At 35.0% G+C, this 14,811-nt stretch overlaps 1 protein-coding gene across 123 annotated transcripts in view; it reads right to left on the reverse strand.

The window, feature by feature from the left end:
• UTY (ubiquitously transcribed tetratricopeptide repeat containing, Y-linked) overlaps positions 1 to 14,811 on the reverse strand; it is a 246,776-nt gene that overhangs the window by 167,818 nt on the left and 64,147 nt on the right. For 115 of the 123 annotated variants that reach the window (NR_174404.1, NR_047613.1, NR_047627.1 and 112 more), the window contains 2 exons: positions 13,023 to 13,081; positions 9,281 to 9,401 (listed from right to left, as the gene is read on the reverse strand). Coding sequence is in view for 67 of the 123 variants with exons in the window: in XM_011531448.4 (XP_011529750.1) it covers positions 9,281 to 9,401; positions 13,023 to 13,081 (180 nt within the window). In the remaining 56 variants the exon portion in view is untranslated. Of the gene's footprint in view, positions 1 to 2,070; positions 2,177 to 9,280; positions 9,402 to 13,022; positions 13,082 to 14,811 lie in introns of all 123 variants that reach the window. The other 8 variants (NR_047638.1, NR_047645.1, NR_047621.1 and 5 more) reach the window with 1 other exon arrangement.

Here is a 14,811-nt window from a genome sequence, read left to right on the forward strand (position 1 = left end):
TAAAAATACAAAAATTAGCTGGGCATAGTGGCAGGCGCCTGTAGTCCCAGCTACTCGGGAGGCTGAGACAAGAGAATTGTTTGAACCCAGGAGGCAAGGGTTGCAGTGAGCTAACGCCACTGCACTCCAGCCAGGGTGACAAAACCAAGACTCCGTCTCAAAAAAAAAGGAAAAATAAAATAACTTGCAAGATTACAGCACTTCAGTACTATTTTAGTAAAACCTAAAGAAAAAAGAGAGGTATATAATTCAAATTACTCAGCCTACATTTAATTTGTCAGCATTCAAGATCTGCCAGGAGCAGTAAAAAACTTGGATGCTACGGTAAAATTACTGCTTTACTATTCCACACCCCCAAACAGCATAAAATGCCAAACATTTTTAAACAGCAAACATTTTGAAAATACATATTTCAAAACATGCATGAGAAAAGACTTTTAAAACTGATTACATATTTATAAAAAATAAAAGTTATGCACAACACCTCACATTACAGAAAGCTAAATTAAATACCACGAACCAAAAAAGTAAACATTAAGACAGTAAAGGAAATGAGACAAAATGATATAACCTCTCGTCTTCATTTTCAGTATCCAATCCTCAAACTAGAGTCACCCAATCCTCAAATTATGACTAAGCTTAAAAATGATCTTTCCAGAAACAAATTATCAATTAAACCATGTTTGTGAAGACATGAATACTCTATTGCTGCAAAATATAGTTCTGTATCTCTAGCTGTAGCAATTATCCCAAAAGAAATTCTGTATCTCTACCAAGATGCTCACAGTTAAGTCTCATCCAAATTTTGCTCTCATGAAGCCAAACTCCAGTCAAATTAAGATATTTCCCATTTCTTACAAGTGGAAGGGTCCCATACCCTGTCAGCCAAGGTAATCTAAACCACCTGTAATACTTCCTCTACTCCCTCATTGGTTTGTTGTCTGCCTCAGCAAACATCACCTCATCCTCTAAAAAGAATCTCAGGCTAGGATTCAAACCTGCATTACGAAGCCTTTTCTGGATTTCCCCAGGCAATAATTTCTGTTGCCTCGATAGCAGTTTGATCAAAATGTTTTTGTACTGGATATAAAGAAATATTAGAAATAACTCAATAAAATATGATACTAATTTTAAAATCAATTTTAATATAACCATTCTCTATTAAAACCAAATAAAAATATGTGTACTATTACAGCATTTTTTCCTTCACATTCTAGGAAAGCAATGTATCATATATGCATCTGCTGAATGTAACCTATGCTAATTAAAGAAGCATTTCTCAAGCCCAGCTACAATGCATCTAAATACAAAACATGGGCACTAAAAATGAAGTTATCAAGTAGTTATTTCAGACAATTCAGAATACAGTAGCCCATGTCCTCAAACTTGAGGAATACATTCCAAGACCTCTAATGGATGCCAGTAATCTTGGATAGTACTGAACCCTACAGATACAATGTTTTTTTCATTCTGGTAACCGAGACAGCTACTAAGTGACTAATGGGCAAGCTAATATATACAGCCTGGATATGATGGACAAAAGGATGATTTCATCATGCTATTCAGAAGAGTGCACAATTTAAAACTTTTTTTTTTTTTTGAGACAGAATCTCCTTCTGTCGCCAGACTGGAGTGCAGTGGTGGGATCTCAGCTCACTGGAACCGCCGAATCTCAGGTTCAAGGGATTCTCCTGCCTCAGCCTCCTGAGTAGCTGGGACTACAGGCACATGCCACCATGCCCAGCTAATTTTTGTATTTTCAGTAGAGATGGTGTTTCACTCTGTTGGCCAGAATGGTCTCAATCTCTTGACCTCGTGATCTGCCTGCCTCAGCCTCCCAAAGTGCTAGGATTACAGGCATGAGCCACTATGCCCAGTGACAATTTAAAACTTATGAATTGCTTGTTTCTGTTTATTTCTCTTTATTTTCCATTTAATATCTCTGGCCAAGGTTGCAGGTAATTGACCTCAGAAAACAACAATGTGGGTAAGGGGGGACTACTGTATACCTATATGCTTTACTAATCTTTAATAAATTCCTTGTAGAAAGCCAGGCACAATGGTACACACCTGTAGTCCCAACTGCTTGGGAGTCTGAGATGGAAGGATCACTTTGGGCCAGGAATTCCACGCGTTGTACTATGATTATGCCTGTGAATAGCCACTGCACTCAATCCTGGAAAACAGTGAGAGCCAGTCTCTTAAAGTATAATTTCCTTAAATAAAATATATTTCAAAATCTCTCATTCTTATTTATGATCAAAAAATGTTATTCATCAATGTAGACTTTGAGCTTGGTCAATACTGAGCAAATAAAGCCCTCAAATATCCTTTTCATTTGACAGGTAACTACATGCCTACTAAGGCCACGTATTATGCATATAACAATAAACAAACATAATCCCTCCACGAAAAAGCTCCAGCCAGAGAGAAATATTAAAGTAAATAATTATGCTCATCTAATCCATTCAGCAATGGCAAGAATTTCACATGAAAGTACAAGATGTCCAGCACAGATCTAACCACCTACAAATGGATGCCTCCTTGAGAAAATGTTATTAAGGTAGGACCTGCATGGATAAGTAAAAGTTACCATGAAAGAGTTCTAAAAAATGCATTGCAGAATAACAAGCATCTGTTAAGGGCCCAAAAAAACATGAAGGAGATAATATGAAATTGTATTGTCTTTTTCTATTCTGAACATAATCATAATAATGATAGAAAAGTATTGAGGTGTTTAGGATGAAAAGTGGCAATCTGAGTTCCATTTAAAAATAATCTTTCTTTTTTAACAGACATCACTGCTGCTCCTCAAATTTTTAGTTATCTTTCCAGACACATAAAAAGATTAACTCAGATCCCTTGAGTGTCAAGTGTGACTTGGTGAGCTAATAAATCAATTTTCTTAAAGGGAAAAAGATTAAACAGACATTTATCAAAAGAAGACATACAAGCAACAAACAGGTATATGAAAAAAAGTTCAACATCAATCACTGGGAAAAGCAAATGAAAATTACAGTGAGATATCACCCCATACATTTATTATCAAAAAGACAAAGTATCATGTTGATCCGGCTATAGAGAAAGGGAACCCTTAACAATACCAGTGGGAATGTAAATTGGTACAGTCATATGGAAAAAAGTGGCAGAATCTCCTCAAAACTCAAAATAAACTACAATATGATCCAGCAATTCAGCTACTGGGTATTTATCCTAAGTAAATGAAATCAGTAGCTAAAGGACATCTGTCAAGTTTATTGCAGTATTATTCACAATAGCCAAGATATGAGATCAACCTAAGTGTTCATCAATGATTGAATAAGGTAAGAAAATCCGATATATATGTGTACATATGTGTGTGTGTGTATATACATGTATATAATAAACATACTGTTCATCCATTTAAAAAAAAGAAAGTATCAGTAAGTTATTTCTTCTTTCAAATGCATGTAGTTACAATCCTGATGAGGGAAAAAAAAATGGTACTGTGTATATCATTTCGCTTAAAGCTGAAGTTTCCAAGAAACTATTTGATGATGTTAAATGAGATCTTAAACTGTACCGTCATTTACGGCCACACAGATGAACCTGGAGGACAGACATTAAGACAAATACTGCATGATCTCACTTATTTTAGAACATTGTTAAAAAACTTGATCTCATAGAAATATAGAGTAGAACAGTGGTCATCAGAGGCCAGCAAAGATTGGATGGACAGAATGAAGGAGAGAAATTAATCAAGGGGTACAAAATGACAGGTAGGTAAGAGGAATAATTTCTAGTTTTCTATATAGCATAGCAAGCAGACTACAATAAGCAATATTATATAGTGTGTATCTCAAAATAACTAGAAAAAAGATTCCAAATGTTCTTACCACAAAGAAATGTCTGAGGTGATGAATATGCTAAAACTATGATGTGATCGCTACCCAATGTACGTACACATGTGTCAGCAGCATCACACTGTATCCCATAACTATGTCCAATTATTACGTGTCAATTAAAAATAAAATTTAAAAAATAATTTTAATATTAAAAAAATTCTGTTAAATATGACACTCTTTATTTGTATGCAAGGCAGCTTAGTCATCCCAAAATGATCTGAGGAATAAGGCCTGAGTTGTTTGTTATATGCATTTATGATCTCTTACCACAGCAAATTTTAAGAGTTTAAAAAGTCCTCATTAATAACTCTATTTCATGACTTAATAATGTCAATCACAATCGTGTTCGATGAATTTTAATCCAGATTCTGCCCTTAAATAAACCTATTTTATATTAGCTTGCAGATAGGGACTGCTGGTCTGTGTGTCTTTATATAATTAAAAGCAATTTCAAAGACCACTTGATCTCTGATCTACATGTGTCTGCTGTCACATTTATCCATTCGATATTTGTTAAGAACCTATATGATAAGTCTTAATTTTTTAAGCTTATTTTTGTTATGTGATGCCCAGTACTTAGACAGTATCCTAAATATTGAAGAGCCAAGTAAAATTTTGTCAGATAATGTCATATACCTTATTTACTCACTATGTCTTAGAAGGTGGATATAGTTATTCTATGCCCACAGGTATCATAAGAACCAATTAGGCACCCCTAGGTAAGGTTACACATTTATTTAAAAGGCAAAATAAAATCAATTTATGTTTTTAAAAAATGCTTCAAGAGTAATAAAACATGACCTTTTTTTTTTGTCCTAGTTTTGAACATAGGAATGATGCCATAAATCTCATCTTCTTTACCCCTTTCACATCTGCCTCTTAAATCAGCATTTATTATTTTCCACTAGCAAATTTTAAGGGGACAATAAATACCTCAGTATGCTCACCAATTATCCTCATTTTCAAACACAAAGGATTTTAAAAATCCAAAAGCTTCTAATGTTGATGTGTGTTCAAATAAATCAGCATATGTAGACATAAGCAAATATTTAGTAAATTTCTATACAATCTTTTTTCCGGCTTTATTGAAGTATGTTTATGTATATATATATCCCTCAATAAACTCATAATACCTCAAAATACTGTATATTTATATATATATAACTTATATATAAAATTATATATAAAAATTTGTATATATACAAATTTTACATATAAGATATATATATATAAAATACTGTGATGTAAACATATATATATATTGTGACATGTCTACAATAATTAAGCTAGTTAACATATCACCTCACATTTATTTCCTGTATGTCCTCCACATGTAAGAAGTGGTAAGGGTGGGGGATATTGTGAGAATGCTTAAGATCTACTCTCTTTATGCAATCTTCATTAAATCAAGTAGTTGTACTGGTGTTAGCTACTGAAGAATATTGTGTTTCCCATATACATTTGTATATACTATTCCTACCTTCAAGAAACAGTTTTAACAGTTTACCAGTTTATGTAAGTTGCTAGGCATTATATAAAACTATCTGTCAAAATTAACCTTTTTTTCAAGTAATGATAATCCACTGCTGCAAATATATACAAAGTATAACAAAATATCAGTAATATCACCTATAGTGAGAGATAATAAAGTAAAATCTTAAAGGTTATCTGAAGAAGGAAAAAACAAAATGTGAAGTAGAAAAGTCGCTCTAAAATGGAATAATTCATATATACTTTTAATCTAGTTAATCAATTGACAACTGCTATTTCTACCATGTATTAAACACATGGAAATTTGATTAATTTCACTTTTTAAAGGATGGATTAAATTCTGTGACAGAAAAACAGAATTCACAAATACTAGATAATGGCCCCAGATTAGAGAAATTTTAGATGGCAGATGAGAAACAGAACTTAAAAGGGCTGATGAGCCAAGTAAAATTTTATTTGTCAGGTACTTCCATTTCCTTTACTTAGTCACTATGTCCTAGATGTGGGTATAATTATTCTATGTCCCCAGATTATATTAAGAATCAAATAGGCACTTTAGCCAAGGTTACACATTTAATTAGAAGTGTTAACATCAAATTTTAAAATCAAATCTGCTACTTCAATGCCAGTTTACACTATATTAAAGCTGAATTAAACTGTTTCAGTGACATTTGGCCATTTTCAGGAACAATTAATGAACTATAAAGCCCTGGAATGTATGCCATGTATAAACAAAAGAGAGACAGATCTACTGCGAAAACTACCTGTATTTTATTTAAATAATTTACCATTTAGAAATATCATATATACTCTTTCATGGAACTAAGGGAAGAAAATGAAGTAGAGAACTCATGAACTGTAATGAACTTAAATTCTGTTCTCCATCACAATATATCCATTCTGTAACCCTCTTGGAGAACTAAACCTTACTCAAGAATGAGACTGTGAATAATATTAGCCCTCTGATAGGAAATAACTTAATGAGCACATAGTGTATTTCTGGCAAATGATAGGCAAGGCAAACTTTGGAGGCTTTTCACAAAGTTACTACTCATTTTTGAAGACAGCAATGGAAATTTTGCCCTTTTCCATACTCTAAATCAAGATAAGAATGATAAATCATATATTTATTGAGCAGTTAGTTATTACCAATATTACTAAGCATCTAAGTCATTACTCTATAATGTCCCTATGAAAATATGAAAAAAAAAAGTCATTTTAATTACACCTGGTAAGTATCTTCTACTAAACATGGAAAAATCCAACAGAGAACAAAAGTGAATATGGATCTTTGATGAGATATCTGTGTATCTGAATCAACTAACCTTGAAGCCTGGACTTCCTATTATGAGTTAGTAATTTTTGAGTTGGAATTTATAAAAGTAAAGCCCAAAGTGTCTCTCTGAGTACACTTTGCCAGGAAAACACCTTGCTATTATACAAATATCATGATAGATTCCATCTTTAGCTATATAAATTACTAACCAACTAAAGAAAACTGGAAACTTTGAAAAGGGAGATATTCATTCTAACTCACACCTTTAATCATTTTAAATGCCAAGTACTTACAGCAATATACAGAAATATCTCTTCCTCAGTTAAACTATCGATGCCTATAACAATCTCAAAAATAGACAAGAAGTATTTTGATTATGAGGGAAAACTTAAGAAATAAAATTTCAGGATGAGATAAAAATCAAGTAAGATATTCACACTAAGAGAAGATTAATGTTGAAAACATCCCAAAACTTTTTAATGCTATACAAATGAAATAAACATCAAAAACTTGCTGAGTGTTTAAAAAAAATGAAAGATGGGCAAAAAAAAAGAAAACAGCATATATCTAAGACATTTTTTGCTAAAACCAACCTTACTCGAAGGGTTTGCTACCCTTTACATATGACTAAGCAAAGAAAAGCACATATAGGAATGAGTTATCTGTTAATATGGTCTGAGAAAATTTTACCATATTTATTTTCTGCTGTAAAACATCTTAGAGCCTTTTACAGACTTTATGTTTGTGTGTGTATACACATATAATGTGCAGAGAGGATTAAAATCTACAAAGTGGCATAGCTGTACTTATTTTCAATTTCAAATCCACAGGTATCTCAAATGGTAAGCAATTTGTAAATGTTACTCTGAATTTGAGAAAAACTGAAAATTTGAAAATTTCAGAAAGACTGAAAAATTCTATTCTATTTTTCCACATCAACTGCACTTAACCTTGGACTTAGGGACTCCTCAGCTCCACTTTTTTCTGAGTAGTGTGAAATCTAAGTTATTTATGTAGTTTACTTGCAATGATTTTAATGTTTTGGGTTGACTATGTTCCATCAGCATCATACTGTAAAAAACATAAATAGCACAAACAGTCTACATAATTGTAAACTTTAAAACAATTAAGGCATAATTGAGTTAAGAACCACATGCAGTAAGGCATTAATTCAGCAAGTCTGCGTTGGCCAGACAAGCACATTCAAAGAAAGGTATGAATCTTGACAAGCTCCTCACAGTAATCTCTGAAGTCCTTGGAATATCTAGTCTGACAAGAGTGTCTTTATTTATCTGGGGTTTTGGTTCATCCCAGATAGTTATGCTAACAATTGATTTATGGCAGAGGCCTGGGGCAATATGGTATCAGACCTCTCTCTGTAGGCACTGGAGACTAAGCTACTAAGGTAGCTTAGTAGGCAGGTCCTCCAGAGCTACAAGATCAAATCCGAGTAAAAACTCTGAAAAGCAACAGTCACTGAGTTCCTCTGGTGGACAATATTCTGTCTATGTTTTCCTAACTTGCTGCTGGGAAAATCAATTGCAGCTCACAGATGTACAACAAAAGAGGACAAATGAAATCTTGCAGCTGGTTCTCTCTCCTAGACTCTGCCCTTACATGTCTTTTCCTTTGATAATTTTAATGTGTATTCTTTCACTGTAATAAACTGTAACCATGTGTATAACTGTTATCTGGGTTAAGTCCCTCTAACAAATCACTGAACTTGAGGGAGGTTTGGGGAACCCCAAACAACACAGAGTTTTTAAAAAGCATTCCTTTAATATTTCTGTGTTAGTGAGTTCAAAGTAAATCCTATTGTTAAGTTACATAAATACCCTCCACCTGTAAAATTAAGATAATCTACAAAAGATCTGTATCTGGAAAAGGAGAAACATTCTTAATACGCATAAAATCACAAACCTTATTATTTTCTCCAGAAGCTATAATTCTTTCAAAAGACAATGCTTTTAACTTAAAGGGAAGACCTATTTTCATTAAAGTCTTGGAAAACAAAATAGCTTCACATAGCAAAAAAGTAAAAAAAATTTGAGAAATCAAATTTCCACAGAATTAAGATATTTAAACAATAATGTAATTTTTCCCAAAAATCTGCATATTACCCAAAAACTGCATATTTAGCAACTGGCAGTCCAAAAGCCTTAGAGTGAATATTATATTAAACAACTTTGCTATGACACATGTTTTGCTATAATAGGTGTAGATTTCTAATAAGACCTATACAAAGCAATAATCAATAGTTAAATCACTGGTATGACATCACTAACTGGCCTGTTCTCTCTCTCTTTGGTGGCAGACACACAAAATAATGTTGATGCTCAAAGGAAATCAAAACCTTCACCATCTCCTGATTATATAAAAACTTTTAAAATTAAACAAAACAAAAACTTTAAGGTGCCAAAATTATCTTGCAAGTCTTGGTGTTCATTTTATATCCTGAAACTCATTTCCAACCTTATTTTAACCCTTTAGGTCATATCCTCAATTTTCTAAGATTTTCATAGCACTAAATTCCAACGCTTCTCAGTGACATTAAAGTGTGCATGCGCACATGTGCATGCACGCACACACATATGAAATTGTGTATGTGGGAAAAATCTCAACCACCTACCTTTAAACTAGACTTGTAGTCTGTGTTCACTTTGAACATGAGCCCAAGTCGTAAATGAATTTCCTTGGCTCGACAAAAGCTGGGGTCAACATAAAGGACATCTTGAAATGCTTTAATTGCCCTGAAAAAAATAAAAACATAAGAAACTGTGATTTTTAATACTTACATATATCTCACTTGATAGTATAGGAAACATTCTGGTTATTTAATTTTATTGAAAGTACCAACTTTATAAAAAACAGTATGAATGAACGGAAAAGATTAGAAAGGGATAAGAAAGTGCATAATCCTTTTGTTCTCAATTCCGTCAACTATTCAAAAATATCTAAAGGTTCAAGAAAAAATTCAGTGGAAATTACTACAAATCTTTCTGAAACATTCAAGGAAGAACAGCAGGAAAATGTGAAAAGGTGAGAAAGTGAAGGTGTTAATTCTGCTTCTACTCAGCTTCATATAAGCCAACTTTTTAAAACTTTATTTCTGCCTTTCACTTTTGGTATACTCTTTTGTTGTAAATGACAAGGTCTCAATCTGTCACCCATGCTGGAGTGTAGCAGGACAATCACAGCTCACTGCAGCCTGGACCTCCTGGGTTCAAGCAATCCTCTTACTTCAGCCTTCTGAGTAGCTGGAACCACAGGTTCATGCCAATACTCCTAGCTAATTTTTTTCATTTTTTGTACAGAGAGGATCTCTCTTTGATGTCCTGGATGGTCATGAACTTCTGGGCTCAACGGATCCTCCTGCACCAGCCTCCCAAAGAGCTGAAATTACAGGCAAACACCTGGCCTGTTTGCCATTATCTACTACCATTCTAAGTATGTGTAATAACATGGATAGGGGATCAATTTTTATTTTTTCCACATAGATTTCCTATAGTCTAGCATAATTTGTGGAGCAGACTATTATAATTCCAGAGCAATATGGTGTTACCTTTGATATAAATCAAGTACTCATGTTCATGTGGGACTGTTTCTGGGTTCTCCAATCTAATTCAGTGTTGATTAGTCTATCAATCCACCTTTGTTCAAATGCTATCATACTGTCTTAATTACTGTTTCTTTTTTAAATGGGTCTCTCCAATAAAGAAAATCCACAGATAAGTAGAGGTTTTCTTTTTAACAGTGAGTGTATTTTGAATATTTTTACTGCTTGAATTATGTAAATGATAATTTCCTCAAAAATAAATACGAGGGCAAAAGTCTGCTTGAATCTAAATTATTCTCCAAATACTTTGAAAGTAACAATTTAGAATCTTAAGTGTTTCTAATACAAATGACATTTTCTATACAGTATAAAAAGATACAGATACCAGTAATATGACAAAATGGGATATAGGATGCTACACATGCCCCTAATAGGTTAGTCTGATAAGTAATTTCCTACTTCTAAAATTATGTATATTCCATATCCATTAATTCCAAGATTAAGCATTTTAAAAGGTAGGGGGTTTGGGGAATTATACAGACATCACTTAAAGACAACACATTATTTAATATATATTAAAGCAATCACTATTTTGTATCTATGCTAGCTTTATCTGTGTAGTGATTTTACGTTCTTATCTTCAATCTATGGGAGAACATGAGTTATCACAATTATATGAAAATTAATCAACATGATGCACACTAATCACATGATGCACATGTAAATCAACATGATGCACACAGTTTATTCCCCTAAACTGTATAGGAATACAGTTTCCTTGTCACTAGTTTTACACTGGATTTCACCTAAGTAAATTCTGGCTGACTAAAATGATTTTATCTATATGCCCAGAGAAATAATTATAAATACTGATTAAAATAACCATCTTTACATGGGGCAAAGCATAATAAATTATTCTACTAACTACAACTTATATCCTTACTTTTGAATACATGCCCCCTAAATTCTTTACCAGTGTTATCACTGCCTTGGGCAGACAGGGGCAGGTCCCCAGTGAAACCTGACATTCAAGCCAAAGAAAGCCTGAAGCCTGAAAACTGGGCTGCCAGTTACAGGTAGAGTCTGTGACCCAGAGTGAGAACTTCCTTGACAACTTTTAGCCAGCCAAAAGGTGCTTTTTCCAGGCCCACCTTGGACCAATCAGCATGCACTCACCCATTCTGAGCCCACACAAACCCCAGACTCAGCCATACTTTAGCACTATCCACCTTTGGGTAGGGGCTACCCACTTCAGGTCCCCTCTCAGCTGAGAGCTGTTCTGTTCCTCAGTAAAACTTTTCTGCCTTGCTCACCCTCTAGTTGTCCATGTTAGCTCATTCTTCTTGGACCTAGAACAAGAACCCAGTACCCACCAAAGGGCAGGGCATAAAGTGACTGCAACACTGTAGCCCTCCTGCCCTCTATCCACACCGGGTGGCTGCCCCATGTGACAGGAAGCAGCAGGGTGCCAGGCCAGCCCAGGAGCCGTCGGCTTAAGCCAGGTAATGGGACTGAACCAACTGGGAGGCACACAACCCCGTTCGCTGGAAGTGTGTGGACTTGGTGAGGGAGCGGTAATACCAATGAGGGAGTGGTAATACGAATGTGCTGTAACACTTCGTGGGGGCTCAGACACCAGGACTCCCCAAGCCAGAGCTGTAACAAACTGTAACACCCCCTTTGGGGCTTTGTGGTTTCTGGCATCTCCAAATATTTTCAGCGCCACAGCGTTCCCGTAGTCCAGTTGCCAGCACCCAAGGCGGAAGCCGCTGAAGGCACCGTTGGTCCAGCCACAGACTTGCGCAGAGCTCACCCATGTGCCAGCACCTGGAGTTGCCCAACCTGCCGGCACACCTGACTGTATGCCATGGCCAGACCCCATGCCCACTGGCTCACATAGGTCTTGCCACTCTGCACCTGGCTCCCCACTGGCGGGTGTGAAATCTGAGCGGGTACCATGAGCCAAGCACAGCCTGCAGGGCCAACTGGGCAGAGCCAGTCCAGCCATCAGGAACCAAACTTGAGCAGAGGCCCTGCCAGACAAACAGGTCTTGTGAAGCGGCACCCAAAGGATCCTTTGTCAGTACCCTTCCCAATGATAACAGAAAGTTTTTCTGTTCCAATGCAAAGTTTTTCTGCCTTTCGATTCCAATGCCAAAATATGCAGAAAATATGCATTTTTTGGTTTCAGTAGGAATTTTGTTTAAATTATTAGACTGGGGACCCAGACATCAGGTCTGCTTATACCACTAAATAAATGGTTAAATAACAGTGACCAAGAACTAACATATTTATGACGGATTATACAAGACGGTTAGTGAATTAAGTTTAAGATCTCTTAAAACAATGTATATTATTCATGAAAAAAATCATTATAGAATCTTAACGCTTAGTAGCAAACAATTATTTCCAGACTTGATGTAATTAAATGCCCAAAGGCAGAGAAGGAAGAAAAACAGAAGGCAGGAAAAGCTATCCAGGTTAAAGTTAAATATTCACCTGTGGGAAAACATGTCAAATAGCTGTCAGTGCATATTTAAGAATTTGTAATAAACATTACGGCAACCTACACATTGCAAATCTTGATCACACAGTAATTATCTTCCTTCGGACTGTCACAGCACTCGAATGGGGTAAAACATAAAATAGGAGCAGGGCAGTTTATAATCAAGTTACCAATTACTGGCCAAGATGAAAGAATGATGGGCTGAACTTGATTAGAAACTGCAGTAAAATAAGTGATACTACTGGAAATGTATGGTTACAGACATTAAAATCACCATTTACTGGAAACAAATGGTATAAGTCAACTTACCAATGAAATGCATTGTAGTAGAAGTAGACCAAACCAAGGCCATATAAAAACGCAGCATTCTGTTAATATAAAACACAAAACAACCTTTATAACAGATTTTATATCTATTACTATTACATATATTAATAAGAAGTCACGTAACGAGATGTTTTAAGTTCTGAATATTTTACCATATATTACAATATTCTTCTCTACTTTTTCTCAAGTTCTCTCCATTTTGAAAATTGGAATCAATTTGCCATTCAATGTTACAAAAAAGGTAGTTACCTTTTTTTTTTTAATGCACAGCATCACCCTCTACTAAATGTTAGTACAGATTGTTCATCCCTTATCCAAAATACTTGAGACTAGGTGTTCCAAATTTCCAACTTCTCTGGGTTTTAAGTACTTGCGTATACATAGATACCTTGGGGATGGAACCCAAGTTTAAACACAAAATTCATTTGTTTTATATATAGCTTATACACATAGCCTGAAGGTAACTGTGTACAAAACGTTTAATAATTTTGAGTATGAAACAAAGTTTTTGTATACTGAACCATCTGAAAGCAAAGGTGTCACAATTTCAGCCACGTAAGAGTGCAATCTGTGGTTGTTTGGCATCACCATCTATTCCTAATCAGGAATTTACATATGCCACTGAGAAGCAATCATTTTCTTACACTAATTCACACATAAGTGTTTAAAACAGTAAAAAATATGACACAAGATTATACAGAGAGAAACAGTGTCTGGGTAACTGAACAGCATGGTAGCATACAGTCATGGGCCTTGTTAATGACAGACAACATATATATACAACAGTGGTCCCACAGGACTATAATAATTGATTTTTACTGAGCTTTTCTATGTTTAGATATACAAACACCATTGTGTTATAATTAGTTATAGTATTCAGTACAGTAACATGCTACATAGGTTTGTAGCCTATGACCTAGAGGCTACACCATACAGCAAAGCTGTGTAATAAGCTGCATCATTTGGGTTTCTGTAAGTACACCATATGATGTTGACACAATGATGCAACTGCCTAAAAACAAATTTGTCAGATTGCATTCCTGTCATTGAGATGTATGAATGTACCTGTATCAGCTGATAAACTGCAACAACAAGAACAACAACAGAACAGCAGGTTTTCAGTCTCCACCTATGATGCTGTATTTTGATGAAAAATTTACTGTACACACTGCATTATTTATTTATTTATTATTATTTTTTTGATACGGGTTCTCACTCTGTCACCCAGGCTTGAGTGCTGTGGCATGACCTAAGCTCACTGCAACCTCTGCCTCCAGGGTTCAAGCAATTATCCTGCCTCAGTCTCCTGAGTACCTAGGACTACAAGCACCCACCACCACACCACATTCATATGGGATTACAGGCATAAGCCACCATGCATGGCATGAATGGCTTGTTAAATGTTTCTGCAGAATTATCTGCCTGATTCACAATGGCTTTTGCCTTGCATATCTCTTTCATTTTATAACCTGACATGATTTCTTGTTATGAATGCCTGCTGTCCTAGTCCTTCAATAAGTCCATCAGGCATTTTCATCACATTGTCTGTAGGCACCTTCCCTGCAGTCTTAAAAACATCACCTTCATTATCACTACTATCACAATCATCTTAATTCAACCAGACTATTCTGGCTATTTCACAATTGTTAAAAGAACAACTAGGGCCTAATTATTAATGTTAAAGTCTTGATATATAATTCTTCTAGCTTTATTTTGTGTATTTAAGGAAGAGCGATGTCATTTTTTTCTTACTTGACATAGAAAATCCTTC

This window comes from Homo sapiens, chromosome Y (assembly GCF_000001405.40).
Source record: "Homo sapiens chromosome Y, GRCh38.p14 Primary Assembly".
Lineage (NCBI taxonomy): Eukaryota > Metazoa > Chordata > Mammalia > Primates > Hominidae > Homo > Homo sapiens.